At 41.9% G+C, this 24524-nt stretch overlaps 1 long non-coding RNA gene across 3 annotated transcripts in view; it reads right to left on the bottom strand.

Annotated features, from left to right (window-relative positions):
• LINC02987 (long intergenic non-protein coding RNA 2987) overlaps positions 1–24524 on the bottom strand; it is a 231539-nt gene that overhangs the window by 91881 nt on the left and 115134 nt on the right. For 2 of the 3 annotated variants that reach the window (NR_146733.1, NR_146734.1), the window contains exon 2: positions 13231–13309. This is a non-coding gene — a long non-coding RNA (long intergenic non-protein coding RNA 2987). Of the gene's footprint in view, positions 1–13230; positions 13310–14041; positions 14148–14225; positions 14402–24524 lie in introns of all 3 variants that reach the window. The other variant, NR_146735.1, reaches the window with a different exon arrangement.

The raw sequence follows: 24524 nt of genomic DNA, 5'->3' as shown, positions 1-24524 counted from the left end.
TTATCATAGGAAGAAAAGGATCACTTCAAAAAACAGGGCAGGAGTAATGATTAATATTTAATTTATTTCTGTTGAAAAATTTAAATAAAGTTTGAGGACAAGTATAGGTGATATGTTGAAATGCGGGAGACCACAGTGGAAGGAAAAGAATTCAAGAAAGTTCAGTTTCAGTAACTAACATCTAGTGAAATCCTCAGGATCCAGTGGCTGCATTCTGTGTTAAGAATAATATTGTCTGAAGTCCTAGAATTTTGAACTTGCTAAGCAGGAAAATATTGGAAAGCACTGTTATAAAAACAGCTTTTAAAACATTTTAATGGAAAGGAATATTGATGTACATTTAAAAAAAATCTTATCTTTCTATAACATTGGCAAGGCTGAGGCAGTAAAGATAAAAAAATAGAGTAATGTGATTTGATCAGGAGTTTGATTATGTGAAATAAGCTGAGACCTTGTTTACTCATGACTCCAGAGTGAACTATTAATTTATTCATTCATTCAATACCCATTTGATACCTGAGCCCTTAGCACATGCCATACACTTTGTGTGAGCGCTGGGGATATTGCTTTGACCAACATAAACAAGATTCTTATTGTTCTGAAACTTATCTTCTAGTAAATAAGTTAATAGACTGTGTTGCCCTTCACTCCTGCCTGCATTACCTAGGAGGGCTAGTGATGTCCAGCTATTGTATTTTCATTCCAGACTGCTTGGTAGATGAAGAGAAGAAGGAGGAAGGATTTATAGAAGGTACACATAGCACAGTGCTTACAAATCACTGGCTTAGTCAAATAGCTATAACAAGCTGCAGGGAAGCTCAGAAAATATAATCACATAGCTAGGGTGATAAATGCAGAAGAAACAATTGGATATGAAAAGGAAACTAGCATGATATGCCACAATCTCTAAGGGAAGATTAGGGAAGTTTCAGCCTAAAGTAAGAATAATCAAAACAAAATTGTATAATCTTTTGCAAGTACATATGAAAAACATACAAAGTTTGCCATAATCTTTCCTTAAGCTAAGAGAACAGAAAAAGTGGAAAGAAGATTAAACTATAGAATGAAGTGTTGGTTTAGAGGCAAGAAAGATTTTACGGCAGTCAAAAATCAGTCTTATATTGTTGCAGGATTTAGGAGGACAAGAGATACCTCGGGTTAAAACAGGAGAATCTCTTATTGAGTGCACTCAGGCCCAGCAGACTCACATCCAAAGACTGGGCCTGAAACAAAGACAGCACTTGACTTTTATACACACTTCACAAAAGGGGGTAGGCTAGCTTGAAGCAAGCTTACAGTGGCATGAAAGCAGGATACAGAGACAGGACAAAGACAGTTAATCAAATTGTAACAGGTTCATAACTCAGGATTGCACATAACTGTTGCTATGAAACCCAGATGTCCATTATCTAGGTTTGCCTAGGCACGGGCTTATCCCATAACCTTCACTATGGTGTCTAGATAGCTGTAGTTCAGGCCTGCTCAGCCTTCTCATGACCTTTGCTGTGCTTTTTAGATAAAACAGAATACTTGAAGTTACTGGTTACAGAGAACAAGAATCTATAAACTCATACCCTAAAACAAAGGAAAATTTTTCTTCTCCCTATGTTGAGGGAGTGCTGGGAGAGTCTCCAGAGTACATTAGATAATATTATCAAGACTTTTCTTGGGTCTGGGATGTGCCAGTTTGTGCCTCTGGGACAAGTCAGCCTAATACAGGAAAGCTTATTTCTCTTTCTTTTCAATTTTATTTTTCTTCAATTTCCCACCTCATTATGGTATATTATGTGTATATTGTGAGTAATTGGATTTATCTTGGATATATTACTTGACTTTTTAAAAAGTCATTTTTGATGGGAAATTTCCCAGGTGTTCTATAAAGTACTGTCCCATCAGACATTAATAATAATCTTCCATATTCTTGAGTATTTTAATGACTCCTTCTAAAGTCTTCCATTTTTTAGTTTAGATTAACCTGGGAATGATGTTTGAGTATTGTCTCATCCAAACTGCTGTTACCCATCCCCATCATAAGTCAGAGAGGTCTTGGTTATTTTGTGCTCTAGCAATTAATTCATCATGAACCCTGGAGTTATTTGCTATTCCAATCATTTGTGCTAATTCACTTCTCATAAGCATAATGGATTTACCATTGTTAACCCATAAACCATATAGAACTTATACATCTGGTTTGAGCCCGTGTGCTAAAGTTCTACATATACCCTGTAACTCTTCCCTAGTATAAAACTTATTTTCAGTAGAGATAATATTTCTGCACTCATGTCCCTATGTAACTTTTACTGTTACTGCTGGTCAGGCTTTCTGGGGTCATCATAACCTCCTGGGTCCTCTGCATGAGGGACATATTCTTCAGGATAACTTTGTAATAAATCTTTTATCCATCTAAATCAATAGTACCTAAAGTCTTGAGTAACAAGGTTAGTACTTGGTTTTTCTTAGCTCTGTGAGCTAATGTGACCAATGCCTGAGGTTGTGTAATAAGGCCAACAATCAGCCAGGTCTTTGCCAGAACTTTTTTTCTAATACATTTCTCTACTGATTTCCAGGGGTCACTGCATGTCAATATATGAGTTCTGGCATCGCAATTTGTTTAAATGTTTTGTGAATGACTAGCAACATAGTAACTTAATATAATTTCAAATATAATTTGCAAGTAAAATGTTGACATGGTTTGATTGTGTCCCCATCCAAATCTCATCTTGAATTCTCACATGTCATGGGAGTGAGTTGGTGGGAGGTAATTGAATCATGGGGGCAGGTCTTTCCTGTGCTGTTCTCATGATAGCGAATAAGTCTCACATTATCTGATGCTTTTAAAAAGTGGAATTTCCCTGCACAAGCTCTCTTTTCTTGTCTGCTGCCATGTGAAATGTGCCTTTCACCTTCTGCCACAATTGTGAGGTCTCCTCAGCCACATGGAACTGTAAGTCCAATAAGCCTCTTTCTTTTTGTAAATTACCCAGTATATATAATCACTGTTTTCAGATTCTAAAAGTAATTTTGGATAATTCCACTAAATCAAGGCAAATGAACACTTGAATTCAGTTCTATTCCTACCCAAATTCCATTAAAATGACTGAATATAAACAATTGAATAAGAAACATAAAAACTGAGCATAAAAAACTAAAAGGAATTAAAAAATAAAAAAAAGAAATGAAAAAAGCAAACAAGTGATGGCTTCAAAGTTATAGAAATTGGAAAATGGATGGTCTAATGGTTGCTGACATAAAACAGAAAAAGTTGAAATCCAGCTCTCAGACTTGAGGGACTCCCATAAAAAGAAAGCTACCTAATGCTTTGGGATAGAGTGAAGACAGCCACCATAACAACAACAACAACAAAATGAAGTAGGCAATACAGAGTAGCAATGGCAAAACTTAAATATTATTACCACAAGTAAGTGTGAGAATGCTTAGTGTGTACATTGTCTAATCAGCCCACAGCGTTCTGATTGTTCATGTAACTCAACACGGTGAGCGGTGAGCTAATCTCATTAAGCCTAATCCTAAGCAAAGCCAGAAAGTCACTGATGCTGTTTTTGGCCTGAGAGTTCTTAAGCTGTCATTCTCAGTTGAGGGTGGCTAGATATTTCAGATAGCCATGAAAATTAAGTGCTTCTTAAAGCAAACAAAGAAATGTCTCAGAGAACAAGACAAGAGAATAGGAAAAGAACAAGAAACAGAACAAGAAAACATCACTATATAGTAGAAGGATGCCTGTTCAAAGATTTTGTTCGGTAGCTGCTTAAGTCCTTCTTGGATCTGTAAAGACTATCATGTGTGGTTAACTTCTCAATGATCTGACCACACTCTTCCAACCACTGAGCTCCATTTTTCAATGTGTTGCTGGCTTCTTGATAGCCTTTCAGCCACTCCTCATAATCATCCTCAGAGAGAACAGCGTAAGCCACAGAGTGCACAAGCCTGCAAATCAGCCACTGGTGAATGGAAGCAAGCAGAGTGTTTTACCTCACAGGGGACATCACACATGCTCAAAAGTTAAAGAAACCACTGCTTTTTAAGGACACTTTAATTCAACATTTACACAGTTCCAAAGGGATATTTAAAAACAGTTCTCCCATTTTCTAACTAAACCACTTCTACCGCAAGATGGAGAGTGCACAGTAAGTTGCATGAGTTAATTCCCCACAGCAGAGAGACACAGGACCTGTGCATTATCCATGTGTACATGTACAGTAAGCAGGTATCAATATGAGGAAGCAGGAAGTATGTTTCAACATAGCAACATAATGCCCAATGTGCCTTGAGCTCAGGAGTTTGAGAGCAGCCTGGGCAACATAGGGAGACTCCTTCTCTACAAAATAAATATTAAAAAAAACCAGTCTTGGTGGCATGTACCTGTGATCCTAGCTGCTTGGGAGATTAAGGTGGGACAACTGCTTGAGCCCAGAGGTTTGAGGCTACGGTAAGCCATAATCACACCACTGTACTCCAGCCTAGATGACATTATGAGACCTTGTTTGGAAAAAAAAAAAAAGCCTAATGTGCTGTCCCATGAAAGATCCAGTCTTTCAAGCAGCTACACCCATGTATCTGCATGTATTCACAAGTGCATGCATCATGCATTCAGTGGAACACACTAAGGCAAGAAAGCAGCCAGCATCTGAGCATATCTCCAGCTATCATTACTGGCAGGAAAACCTGACATCAGGGTTGTTTAAAGCCTTTCAGATAACACCTTTCCTGCTCACAATGGGTTCCATGAATTTTTTGTTCAAGTCATAGATCAACCAATGTCATAAGCATAAGAGAGGGATAAGAAAACACTGTTTTCTTATGACAGTTATGACAATGTTTGAGTTTTCTAAGAAAGAGACCAGTAACTAAAGTTGATTCTGCATGGGATGCCTCCTCTTTCTGCACTACTGGTGATGAGTTATGGAGGGCTATACAGGTAATTGACTTTGGATTTGGCCACACATCTAGTCCCTGCCATGGGCACAGGAGGAGTAGGTGGGAGGGAAAAGGGGCAGGCAGTAGAAGAATATGCTCCTGTGAAGCCAGCCAACATGCCAGAAAGTACAACTCCAATGGTCAAAAATAGCATTTTCACATTTCACTTACCTTCTGTGGCAAAATATCCAGATGGCATAATGTTTCCTCCATGTATTTTAACACTTTTAAAAGTGTCTCACAAAATACACTATCCTATAAAAATACAGAGACACTGTGGCTGGAAAACCTTTCAATAAACCTTGTAGCCAGCATGCTTCGCATGGCTTTGTATTATTGTTTTTCCAGTGTCCATGAGAATACTGAGTGGTCAAATAGGAATACAGCCTTCGGTTGGGCTCAGGCATGAGCTTTGGAAAACAAATTGGGTATAGATGTGTCCAAACAAGACTAAAATCTGTTCTGTACATAAAAGTCAAACAAAAGCAACACTGGGGAGAGCCAAAGTTGCCAGGAGAGTCATCAGAGAAACATCAGTGCCTACATGCACCCAACTCTGTAAAACTCATATCCCAACATTTATATTTTTGTGCAGAAGTGGAAAGGGTAAAATGCACATCCTAAATTGCTCAAGTACAACTTTGCTCCCTGATACTGAAGAAGCTCCTAATCAGGTAAGACACAACCCAGTAGGCAGCCAATCCATTTCTGCCCAGAAACATTTGGGTGTACACAGCTCATTGCCCTGTGAGTATTTCCATGATGACAGACAGGGCTAGGGTACTGGATTCCACAGATAATCCAATATGCTATAAAGTACATAGTTTTAGGATGCTTTTTAATAAAAAAAAGTAGAAGAACCTAGCTTGAATTTTGGAAAAAATAAAATCCTGTAAAAATAAAATACCTCTATAGAAATAGAATATGCCTCTGTGGTGTTTTCATATGGACACTGTTCTATATTTACAGCCTTCCTCTCTCCACTGCCTCACATTGATGCCTTTTGTACTTTCTGTAGTACTTAGAATTTGATGTCAAATCAACAAAAAGTTTAAGAAACAGATCACGTGAGAACAAAACCTAGACGAAATTAATTTAAGTAGCTATTACTCAAAACATAATTATTTCATGTATAAAATATAATGTTAAATAAACAAAAAGTTTAAGAAACAGATCATGTGAGAACAAAACCTAGATGAAATTAATTTAAGTAGCTATTACTAAAAATAGAATTATTTCATGGGTAAAATATAATGCCCTGAGAATTCCCATGTATTCCTCATTTTTAAAAACCGCTAGTCATACTGTACTCATATGAAACCACCGTTCTTCCCACAATTGGTAACGATTACTAAGATTTTCAACTAATCAGTAATCCTAGAATAGCTTTATATTTTTGACAGTCAAATAAAATAAGCTTAATAATTATTTTCCTCAATACATAAGATCATGATTTAACAAATAAGATTCACAAATTCCTTAGGGAATACATAAAATTAAAAAAAAATAAGATTCACAGATTTCTTAGAGAATACATTTAGATTTGGGTACTAGGAAGCAGACAGGACGAAAAGCCTGACCAAAAGGAGCAGCAATAATGCAGCCACAGATGGACACTGCCCTTGTCCCCACAACATAGCTCTTGGTGATGAAAAAAAAAATTAACCACAACAATTGAGAAGAATAGCTGCTAGAGAACATATATTTACATATCAGAGCACTTAAAGAAGATCATCACAGGCCAACCAAAATTCTTTATCTTCCCAAAGTCACAACACAATGCTGGTAAAACTGGAATCAGAATTTATACTCCAAGGATTTTGCCTGACACATTGAGTTGCTGTTTCTGAAACAACTATTGGCTAAAACTGACCATCTGTGCCATTCTGCCTTGAACCACCATGGGCTTTTACTCCTAAGTCAACTTGACAACCTACCTGAAAGAACCTTTCAACTTTGGGCAAACAATAAGCAAATGATGAGAACCACAGTTAGGAAAAGGAGCTGATTGACAAAGTAGTTGCCAAGAACTCTCTGCTATGCAGGACACTGCACCGATACTTACAGCCCCTTTACAGTGGAGTTAAAGTTGCACTGAAAGACTTTGAACAATTACATCCTTTTTCTGTCACTGGGAGAGTAAAAAATGAAAGGTCACCATTGCTCTGTTGATAGAATGTGTGTCCTACAGCTAAACACCAATAAAAACAAAAGGTGGCCTGACACTCCTAAAAACAGTCAAGCTGTATCTTTCCCTACCTTTTTCCTCAAAGTTGAACGTAACTGTGTATCTCCTAGTCTTTTCATTTACATCTAATGGACATAAACCTATTTATTCCCCTGCCACAAAAATATACTAGCAAAGCTATTTGCAGTAGGAAAAAAAGAAAAAGAGAATTCTAGCACTGGCTGTGTATGTGATTGACTTCTGGATCTACTCTCTAAAAGTATTCTTTACTTTTTTAGCTAGGAATTATCAAGTAACTTGATCTTTAGGTAGCAAACTGGGAGATTCAGTATAGATCCATTTGACTCAAAAGTTCCTCACTGTTTCATCTTTAAACTGGGTAGAAAAAAAATTACAAACCTCTAGAACATTCCCAATTCAGCACCAATAAACTCTTCCTCTCTCCTTTCCTCACCAAAGCATCTATAGTTCCTTACACATCTTTCATCATGGTCCACCCTCACCCACCAAGGCTTTCGTGAGTCCCAATCACCCATAAATTCTTCTTACTGCTATCCACCCACTTGTGCAGCCTCCTTTCATCTCCCACTCATCCTTCCATGCGCAACCTCCAGACTTCAAGCACACACAAGCCTCACCATTCTCCTTTTCTGTACATTCCAATCCATGCCTATGTCAACATGTTATCATTCTGAGACACACCTCAACTATAGCAGCCCTGACCACCCATCTCTGTGGATCTTCAGTTTGGTCCTTCCCAATCAACTTTAAATGCCTAAGAGTGAGGATAGTCTCTCCTCAGCTCTGGATAAATTCCTGCATTCTCTCTCAACTACCTAGTGGTTGTGTGCGCTTACCAAAGATATCAAATCCATGTCTTAGGTTCTCAATATGTAAAGCAACTGCTTGAAAAGAGTGTTATCAAAATTAAGTGAGGCCAGGCATAGTGGCTCATGTCTATAATCCCAGTACTTTAGGAAGCTGAGGTGGGTGGATCACCTGAGGCCAGGAGTTTGAGACCAACCTGACCAACATGGTGAAACCCCATCTCTACTAAAAACACAAAATTAGCCGGGCATGGTGGCGCATACCTGTAATCCCAGCTACTTGGGAGCCTGAGGCAAGAGAATTGCTTGAACCCAAGAGGCAGAGGTTGCAGTGAGCCAAGATCATGCCACTGCACTCTAGTCTGGGCAACAAGAGCGAAGCTCCGTATCAAAAAACAAAAAACAACAACAAAAAAAACAAATTCATGTCTTAGTTTCTCAATATGTAAAGCAACTGCTTGAAAAGAGTGTTATCAAGATTAAGAGAGGCTGGGCACGGTGGTTCATGCCTGTAATCCCAGCGCTTTGGGAGGCCAAAGCAGGTGGATCATGAGGTCAGAAGTTCAAGACCAGCCTCGCCAACATGGTGAAACCCCGTGTCTACTAAAAACACAAAAAGTAGGCGGGCATGGTGGCAGGAGCCTGTAATCCCAGCTACTCATGAGGCAGAGGCAGGAGAATCACTTGAACTTGGGATGAGGAGGTTGTAGTGAGCCGAGATGACAACACTGCACTCAAGCCTGGGTGACAGAGTGAGTCTCCATCTCAAAAAAAAAAAAAAAAAAAAAAAAGATTAAGTAACTTCAGGTAAAAGATTAATTAAAAAGAGATAGGACCACAACTATAACCACAAATGACCTGTTCTTTCTTATTCTCCCATATAATTTAAAATTAATCGGCTGGGTGAGGTGGCTTATGCTTGTAATCCCAGCACTTTGGGAGGCTGAGGCAGGCAGATCACCTGAGGTCAGGAATTCGAGACCAGCCTGGTAACATGGTGAGACCCTGTTTCTACAAAAAATTAGCTGGGCGTGTTGGCACGCGCCTGTAATCCCAGCTACTCGGGAGGCTGAGGCAAGAGAATTGCTTGAACCTAGGAGGTGGAGGTTGCAGTGAATGGAGATCGTGCCATTGCACTCTAGCTTGGGCAAAAAGAGCAAAACTCCATCTCAAATAATAATAATAATAATAATAATAATAAAATTCATCTTCACATCTTAATCCATATTCACCCATTTTTATCTAACTCCCTTCTTGCTTGTCCATTAACTGCTGGTCCTAGTTAATGCAACTAGAAAGTAATGGACAGTCTCCAACAAGAGATGGGCATAAAAAAGTCTGGAGGGCTGCCTAACACGTCCCTCACCTCCATACCCAGAGCACCATCACCACCCACTCCACGAGCTATCACAGTCATCAACCATCCCCAATCTCTCTCGTTAAATATGTAACCCCAAGGGTTGTTGTCTCACCAAAGTTCACACTTGCAAACCTAAAGACTAGATCTGGAAGGTATTTCCTACAAGCGAATGCAGTGCCGACATTTATCCAATAGCTTATAAAGCAGACAGAGCAAGCAATTCATGAATCATTTAACAAACGTTACAGAAAAACTCCCCTAACTTTAGTAACAGGAAAAGATGCAATTCAGATAGCAACAGAACCTGGTTTTAGCATTGACCATTCAGTGTTAAAGAGGCAAAAACAAAAAAAAATTAAGATGCGTTTTCTTATAACAAAGTATAAATATCCTAGGGGAATAAGATAATTTAACAAATGTTTATGAGTCTTAATTTTCAAAACTGCTCTGGGGAAAAATGCTTACACACATGCGCAGTAGAACTGTCCTACATGGACCAAGCCTCTAATGAGATGAATTTATCTCATCTGTCATCATTTGTCACTTTCTCAGATCTCCAGAGGCACGCTCAGATGGAGCTAGGAGAAAGACCTCATAGGACGTGGGAAATGCCAATGAAAATAATGCTCTCATCACATGTATAAACTATTCAGACTGCTCTGCAGCTGCTGATGCAAGAACATCAAACTGTAGAAGTGTAAAGAAAAGGAGCACATGAAACTTTACTTCTGTTGACTAAAACAAAGAAAATAACTTACTTCATTTTCTTTAATAAAAGTCTCAAATTCCAAGGAGAAGAAGATTTGGAGAGATGTTTACTGTATTTAATACTTAAGTACTATATTGAGTCATGCCATACAATCATACAAATGAACTGAGATAAAGCTTTTAAAAAGATATATTTAAAAACTTTCATACACTTAAACTTTCATAAACTCCTTCATACACTTAAAACATATTTTAAGTGTATAAAAGAGATACAGGCCTAGAAAATTCCAGGACTATAAGGATTCCTAGTGTCTGTTCCTGTACCATCTAAAGGAAAAAATAAATAGGCTCTTACCTATTAAAAGTGTAAGTATTAAAATCTCAAAGCAATTTTCTCCCACTCATAAACCCACTCTCTTTCTATCTCTCTCTGCCCCCATCTCTTCTGCTTTCTCTCCCCTTCCCACCCTCTAGCCTCCTGCAACATGTACTATTTTCTGACAAGTCTTCTGGGGTCATAGCTTGCTCTTCTGATAAAAGCTTCTCATTTTTCTTCAGTGACATGGCTGTCTTAACAATTGGCTGGTGTAACTACCTCCAAGAAATGAAGATAAAGAACACAAAGCTGCATGGGTCCATCAGAAATCTTGGGGCTAGTTATGCCTCTGAATTCAGGATTTTCCAATTTTATATAGTTATATGCGCATTCTAGACCATTTATCATAATGCCCCCTGCACGGTCTGGGGTAACACTGCTTGCTATAACATATCCACTTCCTGCAGAAAATTGTATGAAAGTCACATGCAGTGAGATTCATAAAGATTATAATAGCCTCATGTCAGTTCTGATTAGATTTTGCTGCCAAATGACTATTCCCCAAACTTAGGACAAAACTTTTGGAATTCAAAGGCTTTTGGATCTTGGTGCAGATAAGAGATGGTAACTCTGCACCTGGTTTTAGGGCAATTAATCAAATGCTCTTCTTCTTTGGGTTCTTTCAAGTTAGAAGTCAAGAATCACAATTTCTTTCCATCTACAAAATCCCAGATGCTGTGTATGCTGTTTCTAAAGGTTTTTGTTTTTGTTTTTAGACAGGGTCTCACTCTGTTGCCCAGGCTGGAGTGCAGTGGTGCAATCACATCTCATAGCAGCATCAACCACCTGGGCTCAAGCGATCCTCTCAGGTAGCTGGCACTACACGTGTGCACCACTACACCCAGCTATGTCAAAATTGTTTTTTGAGAGATGGGGTCTCTCTGCATTGCCCAGGCTGGTCTTGAACTCCTGGGTTCAAGTGATCCTCCTGCCTCCCAATTTCTGGCATTACAGGTGTGAGCCACCATACTTGGCCTGCTTTCAAACTTTTTAATCTAATCTGGTATTTCCATAACACATCACAGTAGAAAGAATGTAGCCTTTGAAGCCCAGTAGATGTGAATTTAAATTCAGTTTCTTCCACTAAGTGTTTGACTTACTGATGAATAGTGATAGCACTCACCTCTTGGGGTGAGAGAAATAATCAGTGAAGTAATGTATCTGAATGACCAAGTACATGACTGAATAATCATCTCCACAACGCTTTACTCCTCACTACATCCTAAAATACAACTAATAATCTACTTCATCCAGCCTTCACCCATCTTTATTCAGCTCTCTCTGGATCCACCAGTTCCCTTTCTCCTCAGGCTGAGGAATGTTATAATATCCACTGTCTAGCAGCAGGGCTTCCATTCCCAGGAGCCACATCTCTCGGTACGATGGTTACATCAACCACCTCCACGTGCACCCATGGACTCAGCTCTTATGATGACCAGCAAGGTCATCATAATACCTGGTAAATACCTGGTATCTAATTTGACAATCTGTGGTTCCACGTCACCCCAGTATTAATGGTTTAATAGGATTATATTTATTATGATTATTTGCAAGTCCTAATGAATAGGGTATTCTTTTTTACTCCCAGAAATATGACCAAAAAACTTCAATGAAATAACAAAGTGGTACCAGTCTGGCATCTAACACTAAGAGGATGGTATCAACAGGCTCTGTAGATGCTCGTCTTTCTTTGGCATGTGAGTGAGACAGAAGCAGCTGTTCTTGTCTGTCTCTCCCACTTCTGATTGACTAGTCCCTGCCCACTACCCCCAACCTCCATTTTTGCAATGCAGATAAATGTTGCAGCACCCAAGCACCCATGCGATTGAAAGTTCTCCAGTTAAGGTTAGAAGCCTCCTCAAACGCAAGAGGGAAAGGCCTCATTTTTAAAAAGCTTCTGTAAAGGAAATACTATACTCAATCAGTACTTTGTTCTATTTTTGCACACTTCCCTAAGCTAAATTCCCTCTGTTGGTTACAATAAAAATAAACATAATCTGATCTTTGTACTCCATAAGAAAGGAAACTGCAGATGCTAAGAAATAAGCAATTTGTACAAGGTCTGATATTTCACAGGTTTTGCATAGAAGCAAAGGCAAAAACTGACTACAGTACTAAACAGTCAGAAACAATATCACGCTAATATACCCCTTGGAAGTGAACTTCGAATGCACTATAGCCCTTCTAACTGGTCATCATGACAAACTCCCCTGCCCTGCTTGTCCTCATCATCATTTTACCCTGTTGCCCATCTCAAGGGTCCCTATTTGATCTTATTCTTGATATAACCTTTTTTCTATCACTAAATTTCTTCCTCTGAACCATAGGGAGCAAAAATAAAAAAAAAAAATCAGAAAATACATGACCTCCCTTTACTTTAGTGAAGAAGAACCCTCCTATATAGATTAGGGATATTAAGCTTTGACCCCTTCTCTCTCAGCCAGCCAGACAGAAGCCCAGAGGACTGTGAGGCTTCACTGTGTAAGAAATCTTAGGTGCTGAGGCTACAAGAGGCATAGAATATGCCCTTATGTGCAACAAAAAATTAATTTTCCAACTATTGTAGAATGAAAACTAGACTTTTGAAGTTTTTTGCTACTAATATTTTCACACCAATGTAAAAAGATGTGTGGGGAAGCATCTTAAAGAGCAAACAAGTATTGTAATGCAAATAACACTAATAATATAATTACATTAACAACTTTTCAACAGTTCTGTTTTTTCACAGATAGAAAAATAAACATTTAGCTATCATTCTTGCAATAGACATGCTATGTCCAATACACAATCTTCAAGAAAGTAGCTGTTCTAAAATGTGCACAAGTTTGCCACTTACTGCTTCTATGATGACCGAATATGGTGTTCTCACTGTACAAAGCCCAGCTTTTTAGCACCTTCCACCAAAGCAGCTTCATCTGTCAATAAAGAGTTGGTGAAACATTGACAATCACTCATAATGGTAAAATTCTGTTTACTGTCATTTTTCAAATTAGCAAAACTCACTCTAGTTAAAGAGGCCTGGCATTATCTGCACAGTAGTAAGGACTCAGGGTATAGCAGCACTCACTCTTCCTACCACCATGGTCCTGAAATAAGCGCTTCTGTTAAATGGGAGCACATGGACCTAGAGCTAATTCACCAGGAAAGTGATTTACATTCCTGCTACTTTCACGGGCAAGTTCTCTCTAATTAACCTAAGTAGTATTCCCACAACTTTCTGACCAAATGTCACCTCTGAGCAAGGCCATGTTTAGTCGTGTGCTGTGGGACTGCCAGAGCCACACAAAGTGGGGAGAGTGCTTCATACACAGCTTCCACAGCAGTTGGAAAACTCCTGGGGGCTAGGGGATGACAGAAGCTTGCCCTGCTCTCTCTTCAGAGACTTACTTAGCCCAATAGCCACTGCTGGGAAATGCAAGACAGCCTGGGTCCTCCCTCTGTTGTCAGCGTTAGGAGAGTCGGGAGAGCACAGTCCCAGTTCTCTACAGCTCTAACACCTGTAGTCACAGCCTGGTCATGGTATGAGGGCAGGGGCAGACAGCTGAGTCTGTGGCAGAGGTGGCACCATTGCATCATTCACGAATAACTGCCAATACCCTTGTCTCCTGAGGAGGGTCTGGCAGGATGCATCTCACCACAGCCCTCACCTGGGGAGGAGGCGTGGTAGATGATGTCATCTCCATCCTCCTCAGTAACAATCACATGGCATAGGACCAGAAGAATGATGATCTCCTGTATGCAAGGCACTGTGGGCTGCAAATGTGAGGCCTGGTTAGTCATCAGTTACAACACTATCAACATACACCAAGGCTATGTGCAAACCAAACCCACCTAACATCCATTCATGGGTCTCCACTCCCTGCAGGACAAGGTCGAGGTCCCTAGTGTGGAGCCTGGGTCCCTGCAAGTCTAGCTCTCCTTCTGCTGCTGTGGTTTAGAGTCCTTTCCAATGGTCCCACCGTGTCCTGGTTTCAGCCAGCTCTCCCAGGTACGCTTCTGTTCTTTATCTGTTCTTTAAAAGATGTTTTGGTGCATCAGCCACTTTGCCCCAGAAGTCCACTATTCCCCAAGTCTTGGAACTCAGCTCCTGGGCCCCAGTGAAAGTGGTGGCGAGAACAAAGAGAAGCCATGAGCCCTCTGGTGCCTCTGGAGCCCTGCCTTGTCCACGTGCTTCCTCCTCACTTTCCCAAGACCCAGCTAGAACCTGTGTTCCACCTCCCTCACTGATATATTCCCAGACCCGCAGGTAGAAGACATGCCTATCTACCTGACTTTTATAAATGAATTTCCAATTGTAACCAACCTCTTACTAGTACTAAGTTGCTGTTGACTCTTCTGGGCTTCCATAGTGGACAATTATATCATCCAAAAATGACAAGTTTTTCATTTTCTTTCTTATATACACAGTTATTCAGTTCTCCCCTGTCTGCATGGGCTAGCACTTCAAGAATGATGTTCAAAGAGAGGGGTGATAACAGGTTTCCTTTTTCTGAGGTTATTTTAATGCCAATGTATTTTATGTGTCCCTTTTAATTAATGGCTGGGTTTAAATTTGAAATAGATTGGTAGATTTTTATTAAGGAAGCAGCTCTGCACTTGCTATTTCTCATGGAATTTTTCTCTTCTTTGTTAGTCATAAATGAATGCTGACTTCCACAAATTTATTTTTAGTTTATTCTATGACCTGTTTGTTTGACTAGAGAGGAATTTTATGGAAACAAATCCCAACTGTTCACGTGGCCACTTCTTGGCCTACAAGAAAAGAAACTGCACATTATATTATGGTTCAGTGAAATCAAATAGGTGAGCTTAGAAAATTCCCTAAGGTCAACACTGCAAAAATGTAAGAAATTGTATACAAAACACTTTAATTTGGGAATTGAGCTTCAAGATTACCTTCCTCTGCATCTGATAACTATTCAGTCCTAAAAATATCCTTGTACCATAATGAAAAAAATCATAGAGTCCTTGCCCTTATAGCAAATAAACAAAATAGTGAAATATTTTCTGAATTATAAAGAAGAGTGGCACACACATTCAAATTGAGTTTCTACTCTCAGTGGTAAGCCAAATAAAATTCAAAAACAAAAAAATTCCCAGGACCAAATTAATCTACTTTTCCTTCCCTACCTAACTTGGCATTCTATAATAAATTAGGGAGAAGAGGCAAATTTAATCTGAAGCCTATGGATGCATGTACACATGTATATGTATACATGTATGTATGTATAATATATGTGTGTATATATATATCTTCTTAGAAGTTACAGGTTTTCATTGTATATATACATGCCATATTTATCATCTTAACCATTTGTAAGTGTACAATCCAGTGGCATTAAATGCAATTACAATGCTATGTACCTATCACCACTACCTAAACCCCAAACTTTTTTGTCTTCCCCAACAGAAATTCTGTACTCACTAAACAACTCTTGCTTTTACCTCCAGTAAATTCTATTCTGTTTTTACCTCTATGAATTTGCCCATTCTAGGTACCCCATATAAACAGAATTATGAATTTTATTTTCTTCAGTAAACAGCTTTTAACATGCACAAATGCTGTATCTAGAAATGAATATTTTCTATTTAATATACTTAGAAAATTATACCTCTTAAAAATAGTTTTGCATGCCAAATTGCAGCTACAAAGTATCTAAATAATATACATTATATAAATAATTTCTTTTTGAAGATTCAAGCTCAAAAAACCCAGGCAAAATAATTCAAAAGAAAGTTATATATTATTCCTTGATGAATCTTTGGAAATCTTTCCCACACAGGGGCAGGCACTGGGTAGGAATGGAATCAAGGGATCACATGAATTGTCCTCTGAAATTTGCTATAGGTTGATTCTCTAAGAGTTAAATTACATCTTGTCTATCAGTCCACACAAAGCTTAAAACAGCCCTAAAGGACCCAGAAAACCCGAAATGATAATCAAGGATAAAAGAAAATTCTGTAGCAGATGCAAATCAAATATTCTCTTGGGAGGAGAGTAAGAATTTTCTTGGGTAAAATGCTTTAATTTTAGCCAATGGTCCCATGACAATTTAGATGAGAATGTGGGGCCATCCATAGCCTAAAATCCTCAAAGGCTCCTTCTCTCTCCCCAAATATATTTTAGCAAAATGAGCAAGTGATCTAACAGGCTCTGTATTTAAACTGCTTAAAAACATCCATTGGATATATTTGATCCAATCCCCATCTTTGCAAAAGAAAAAATATTGAGGGCTCTGGTGTTAATTATGTATAGCAGAGCTAGATGCATGCAAATTGCCACAATTTGGCCTTTTCCCCCAAGCAAATTAACAGAGAAAAAGAAAAACAAATACCACATGTGCTCACTTATACGTGGGAGCTAAACATTGGGTCCTCATGGAATTAATGATGGGAATCAAAAGACAATGGAGACTCCAAAAGGTGGGGAGAGGAAGGAGACAAGGGTTGAAAAAGTACCTATTGGGTATGATGTTCACTGCATATGTGATGCATTCAGTCAAAGCCCAAACCTCAGCATCGTGCCACATACCCTTGTAACAAACAAGCATATGTTTTCCCTGAATCTAAAATAAAAATAATAAAAATCTTCATGCCAAGAATATGCCCAATCTCAATTGCATCAGTGATGTGTATTTTGCCAATTTTTGATGAACAATTACAACCAATCCTTTACAAATATGAAAAAAAGGAGAAGGAAAAACTTCCCAATTAATTATGCTAGGCCAGAATTACTATAATACAAAAACCACAGGAGAAAAGAAAAAAACTGCAGAACACTACCCCTGTTGAATTTGACAAAATAAGTTCTCAATACTAGCAAAACAAACCCAACAACATTTAAAAAGAATTAAGGACCCTTACACCAAGAGGAATTGTGGCACAGATATGCAGTTTATGTGGCAACTAAAAAAACTTGATGTTTCCATTCATATCCATTCTTCTAAATGATTTCTCAAGTCCCTGGATGTGTGGGCCCTGTGGTCATTACAATTAACATAGATATATTTATTATCTTGATTGTGGTTCTATATCACAAGTGTTTGTCCACACCTAACATATTGAATATAATAAACATTCAGTTTTCTGTACATCAATTGTATCTCAATAAAGCGGCTAAAACAATTAATGTAATATACCATATTGTAAAAGTGATGGAAGACCAAGAGATGGTTATCGGATTGACACAGAAAAAAAATTCACTATACCTAGCATATAACGAAAATTTTAACCAAATCAATAATTGAAGAGAATTTCCACAACCTGATAAAGGTTATCTATAGAAAACCTACAGAAAACGTCATACTTAGTGGAAAGAATGTTTTCCACATAAGACCGGGAACAAGATGCACAAATATTCGCTTTTGCCACTTCTATTCAACATTGTCCTTGATGACATTGTTAAAAAAAATCACAAGGAGGGGAACATCACACACCAGGGCCTGTTGGGGAGTTGGGGGGATAGGGGAGGGATAGCATTAGGAGAAATACCTAATGTAGATGACGGGTTGATGGGTGCAGCAAACCACCATGGCACGTGTATACCTATGTAACAAACCTGCATGTTCTGCACATGTATCCCGGAACTTAAAGTATCATAAAAAAAAAAACATGAAAGAACAAATGAAGAAAAGGACTCCAGATTCCAAAGGAAAGTGTAAAATTGCCTTTTCATATCCAAAACATAATCTCATATGTATGAAGTCCTAGCCAGGCACAGTGGTTCATGCCTGTAACCCCTGAACTTTGGGAGGCTAAAGTGGGGGAATCACTTGAATCCAAGAGTTTGAGACCAGCCTGGGCAACATAGTGAACTCTCATTCCTACAAAAAATAAACAAAAATTAGTTGGGCAGGGTGGCAATATGCCTGTAGAACCCGCTACTCTGGAGGCTGAGGTGGGAGCAGTCAACCGTGTTCGTGCTACTGTACTCCAGCCTGGGCAACAGACTGATATACTGTCTCAATAATAATAATAATAATAATAACAATAATCCTGAGAAATTTAGTAAAAACTCACTCAAAGTAATAAGTTTAGCAATATTGCAGACGATCGAGATCAAGATAGAAATATCAATTGCATTTCTGTGCACTACCAATATTCTCAAAATATAATTAAAGAAACAATACTATTCAAAATACAACCCCCCAAAAAACACATAGGGAAGGACATTTTTTTTTAAACTGTAACTTTTTTTAAAACTGTAACTTTAAACTAAAATGTTTTTTAAGACTTTTTTAAACTGTAATTTTTTTAAAACTGTAACTTTAAACTTAAGAATACAAACTATAAAGAGACAAAAATACAATTTTAAAAATGAGATTTTAATAGAAATTTTTACCGTTGCCAAAATATATACAAATTTTAAATAGTATGTATAAATATATTCAATATTAGTCCATTAGGGAAATTATAATCAAAACCTCAGAGAGATACCACTTTACACCTTGTAATCCAACAACAACAAAAAGTGTTGTCATGAATGAGAAAAATAGGAAAACCTCACATTGCTGGTGGGAGTGTAAAATAGTGCAGCCAGTTAAAACACAATGAGGCAATTTCTCAAAATGTTTAAGAAGGAACTATTGTTTTGACCCAGCAATTCCACTCCCAGTTATGCGCCTATAAGCTATGAAAGTCTACGTGCACAACAAGATTCACTGCAGCACTATTCATGATGAAAACTACCTGAATACATCTCAAGGAATGAAAGGAAAAACATGGGTGGTATATCTTTATTATATTTTTTGTCAATCAAAATAAAGTAATAATACACATTACAAAAGGAATGGAACTCAAACACATTAAGCTGACAGAAAGAAAGCAGCAGCAAATGACCCCATTCTGTGATTCCACTGGCAAGGCATGTCCAGAAAAGGCAAATCTCTGGAGACAGAGGGGAGATGTATAGTGGTCTAGTGCTAGAAGGTAATAGGGACTGGCCACAAACAGCATCACCTTTTGGGGATGAATGAAATGCACTTCAATTATACTGTGCCTATAGTTCCATAACTCTGCAAATACACTACATGTATCAAATGCACACTTACATGTGATTGTTGGGGATTATCAGGCTGGGTCCTGAGGCTGGCAGTTTAAGGAAGGTTTCCAAATTCAGAAAGATACATCCTGGGTGTCCAGGGAGCAGGAGCCACCACCCCCAGAGCCACAGACTACAGCAACACCAGCTTCCATAGTGCCTCTGCCACCTGCAGGCTCCAGCCTCCAATGACCAACTCATCCTGCTGGCCTGGTTTAGGCCCAGGACCTCTGTAGGTGGGATAAGCAACCATGAAGCAGGCACCCCCAAAACTAGCACACTGGAGCTCAATACTCTCAAGGGAGGTGCCATGGTACCCTAACTTTACAGACACACCAGCAGAGACTACAGCAGTGGGAGTGATAAAAGATTTGGTGCAAAGCCTCCAGTCCCACTATGTAACTCTCAAATCAAGAACTAAAAACAGTCCCTAAAGGGCCTTGGGTCAGTATTTTCAGGTTTTCCCACTGGTGTCTGTCCCAAAGACTCAACTCTGCCACTGTAGCAGGACAGCAGCCTTCTGCAGACACCCTGTAAAAGAACAGGCATGACTGCACCTCCACAAAAGTTTTCTTCTGGACATGGAAAATTTCAAAATGTCCTTAAGTATTATTATTCTTTTGATGAATTCTACCATTCGAAAATAAAAAGCTATTTCTTGGCTTATAGGAGGCACAAGACCAAACAGGGATAGGCTGCATCTTGCCAACCTCTGGCAGAAATGGAGCTCAAAGGAGGGGATAACAGAGTGGGGCAAGCCCAGGCTTTTCAGAGCAAAGATTTACCCCAGGAGAAGACCCTCCCCATTCCTCATCTTGGCTTCAGGAGCAGTTCAGGTGAAAAGTGAGAGACAGAATAGACCTCAGTAATGAGGGGGAAGGAGATGCAGGATCAGGAAGCTATGTCCACAGATCACACTCAGCAGTGTAGACTGCATAGGCCATTTTTGTTTTCATCAAGCTGAGCACATGCACAGCCAGCCCAAAGGGGGTGGAATCAGGGCTTGCTGATGTAGGGACTTTCTGGGGTGGGGAACATTCCATATCCCGAAACTTATATGGAAATGCTGTATCATTGCCATTATAGCAAACATACACTGAGAAAAAGAGAGATACAAATAGGACACCAGGTCTGGACATTTGGCTTTCCTACACAAGTGGAGTGAAGAGGCCCAGGTGGGCCCACAAGGGTGGCTGGTGGTTGGATCCTAAATACAGGGGGCCTGGGATCCCCATCTCATATGAGGAGAAGACCTTGGGTCAATCTCAGACAACAGGCAACAAATTCAGACTTGTGTCTGAAGCTGGTTGCTCCGAGGGATTTAGGTTTTGGGGTGAGATGAGGGCCCAGGGTCAGGGAACACATCATTCTAGTACTGGACATGCATGAAGTTCTTCCCAGCTCTCTCAGGTACAGGATGAGTTGCTAGGCACGTGCTTTAAAAGATCCTAAAAGGAGTGGAATGCCCTGAAGGGACTGTTAAGCCAAGAGAAAGTATCCCAGCCTTCCTGCCTCCCCATCTCTAGATAATCCATTGAAAAGATCCTTAAAGTCAGGAAAAAAAAATTTAGAGAGCCAGTAGGCTGAGGGTTTCCCAAAGTAACAAGTCTAATAATCTAAACACTGCCATATAGGTCCCCCTGGTCAGGTGAGGAAACTGAAGGCTAAGGAGGAAACCCAGAACCTCAGCAGGCAGCTGGCAGCCTGGAGCCCTGGAGGTCTGGAAAGACCCCAACTTAAAGCCCAGCCAGAGGTGGCTCTACTCCCAGCTCTTTCTCTTTCTGGCTGGGCCGACCACCCTCCCCCAAACCCACTTGCTCCCTGGGCAATGGCCTCTGTGCGTGCAGCTGCCAGGCTGTGGATGGGAGCTGGATTTCCCCAGGAGGCAGGCTCCTGCTCTGTGCCAGGCCGCCTGGTGCCTAACAACACACATAGGGGTAGGATGGCACCCGGCGTGCTGGGGCCAGCTTGGCTGGAGGACTATGGTGCTTGTGTAGAGTGGGCCTGGCTTACCCACCCCTCTCCTGACCCCATAGCCCCATGGCCCTTCCACTTCTGCTAGAAGACCCTCCACATCCCCCCAGACCTTGACTACCGACTTGGGTCTGTTGCCCCACCACCATCTCACATCTGCCCCTTCCTGCGGTTGAACACACTCCACCAGGCCCCTCAGACCATCTGACTCAAGAGTAGGGTGAGGAGAGTGGTGACACTAAGTTGTGTCACCGTGTTATGCTGGCCACTTGGGATAAGGGGCCAGGTTTCAGCTGACGGACTCACACCCACCCACCCTCCAAAGTGCAGCCTCTCTTTGCAGAAACTGGGGCCCCGGGGGTGAGGGCTGCGGACAGCACAGTCCCTGGCTCCCGGCGGTGGTTCCGCACTTGGGTGGAGGTCCTGAGCCTCGGGGCATCACGCAAACTACGACCACTGGAGCTACGATGTGGTGGAATTAGGAGCAGCAGAAACTGGGAACCAGTCCCTCAGTGCCATTCACACCTGGTGGCCCCTTTTCATGCAGGTGCGAGTTCCTGGTTCCTGATGCAGCTACCTACAGGGCCCAACCCTCCTGTGCCCCCTAGGTTCTTCCTTGCCTGCTGCTCTCCCATAATGGGGCTGCTCCCTGCCCAGTGGCTCCTAGGCAGTCCTGGCCACACAAACTGCAAGGATGCAAACCTGGGAACCCACGGCAGGAATCCTGACGTTCCCAGGCTATCTGCATGGGCATGCTGTCCCCCACGCCTGGCTGGGTCACAACCGGAAATATGAACCCTATTTTCCCTGGCCCCGCTACCTGCTGCAACACTGTGCCACCCTCCTCCCCCGGCCCCAGCAGTGTTGTATCCCCCCAGCAGTGTTTTATTCCCCAGCAGTGTTCTATCCCCCCAGCCTCCAACTCCAAAGTCACATCCCTCATCCCCTGGTAACCTGGTCGCACCGGTACCGCTGACGCTGAAGCTAGGCCACCACCAGCAGAGCGATGCTACCTCCCGTGCCATCCGCCCACCAACCAACCTCCTGTTGCCATAGGTCCCCCTCCTAGCGGCTGCCATCTCACTGCAGCCATCCGCAGACTCCAGTCTCCAATAAAGCCGCCCAGCAGGTAGGCCAGCTCGTCCTCCTTTTGCCAGAACAGGACAGCACAGCACACAGAACCAGAAGAGAGTCAAACGAGAAGACTGACCCACCTCAACAGCTATATACCCACCTTCTGCAAGTGCAGGCTCCTAGGACACATGTTCTGATTGATGAGAAGGAAGCTTTTGACCTAATCTCATTGGACTAAATTATCCAATCAGAGTTGTCCTATAGACTTGCTCTCATTCAATCAGAACACGTGTTCCAGGAGACTTTATTTGCATAAAGCTGGTATAAAAGCCTGCTGAGGGCCTGGTCCAGCGTTTGAGTTGCCTGTGGTTTTTGCCCAGGGCTGTTTTGTGCTCTGCCAGAGGAGAAGCCGGCGCCGAGGCCACCCGCCAGCGTCCTCCTTGGAGGCCGGAACTTGCGGGCGCTAAGGAGACCGCTGCGGGATGTTGCACTACCTGGGCGGTGGCAGCGGCTGCCACGGTGGAGGGGGCTGGGGCAGCAGGCAGCCGGCGGGCGGTAGTGGAGGCAGGCAGACCAGGGGTAGGGCAGTCAGAGGTAGGCGGCCATTGGGTAGGGCAGGACAGTGGGGCGGAATGGCTGGGGAAAGGAGAGTTCCCTCCTTCGGTGCCCAGAAGGTAGCACCGACCTGTGGCGGCTGCCTCGGCGACGCGACCGGGGGTAGGACAGCGCTGGGGCAGCAGCGGGAGGAGGCGGCCCGCGGGTAGGGCCTCACTGTGCGGGCACAGCTAGGGAAAGAAGGGGTCTTCCTCTGGTGGTGGCCAGGGGGTAGGATAGCGGAGCGGCCAGGGGGCAGGGCAGAGCTGAGGCCTAGATGGCCGGGGAGAGGAGCTGACCTCCAGCCGCGGGGGCGGCAACAGCGCGGCAGAGGGCGCCGACTCAAGAGGGCGCCCTCCCTCTGCAGGTGCCCGAGCCAGGCGTGGGGACCACAAGCCGGCGTGGGGACCACAGGCCCGCGTGGGCACCCCCAGCACGTCAGGGCCTCCGGCATGAGTACTGGGACCTGCGACCTCGCGCTCTGGGTGGCCGGGACCGCCCCAGAGCCCCTGGGCAAAAGAGCAGCCCCGTTGTGGGGAGAGCAGCAGGTGAGGAAGCACCCACCAGGCACGGTAGGGACGGGGCCCTGCGGGTAGAGGCCTAAGGAAACCGAACCTGGCACCAGTTGTGAGCGCCCGCGTTTCTGCTGATCCTACTTCCTGGTGAGCCCAGCCCCAGTGGGCACAGCAGTCTGCGTGGCGCCCAGAGCTGCGGGACCACCATCCAAGTTCAAGGACACCCACGGAGCCGGCCCACAGGTGTCTGCGGCCCTTTCCCCGGGGGCCCCCCATTTTCTGGCCACCTTGGACCAAAGTGAGAGCTGGCTTTCAAGTCCCTTTTATTAAGTATCTGGCTTCTTTGGGTGGTAAAAATTTTTACAAGCTCTTGTAAAGCCTGTATCCTGTTATTTGTTTTTATTTATTTATTTTTGTAGAGATGGGTGTCGCTCTGTTGCTTAGGCTTGTCTTGAACTCCTAGCCTCAGCCTCCCAAAGTACTGGGATCAAAGGCATGAGCCCCAACACGCCTGGCCCATCCTGGTATTTCTAACAGAGCTCTGGAGAAACTAGCTTGAACCCCAAGAATTAGTAGCCACTTCTAGCCTGAGTCCATTTCCATTTGAAGAAAAGTTATGAAGATTGGGCCCAGCTTATTCCTCCTGTGTGTCTGCTTCAATAGCCTGTCGATGTGTATGTCTGCTTTGGGTTTAGGGACATATGAAGAAAACTCTCCATACTTACTCTAGCTCCCACAGAGGTTGCTGGTGCTTCTGTGGTTGGTGGGTTTTTGTTTTCAAGTTCCATATCAGTATGACAGTGTTTTCATATAGCTGAGGTCCTGAAGCCTTGATTCATGTTGAACTGAAGTGTTGTGGACTCAAGATGTAACAGGAAATAATGATCTGTAATTTTGTGATCCTGGTGTGCTATATAATTTGTTTTTTTCTTT

This window comes from Homo sapiens, chromosome 19 (assembly GCF_000001405.40).
Source record: "Homo sapiens chromosome 19, GRCh38.p14 Primary Assembly".
Taxonomy (NCBI): Eukaryota; Metazoa; Chordata; class Mammalia; order Primates; family Hominidae; genus Homo; species Homo sapiens.
This window is presented reverse-complemented; position numbering and strand designations above follow the sequence as displayed.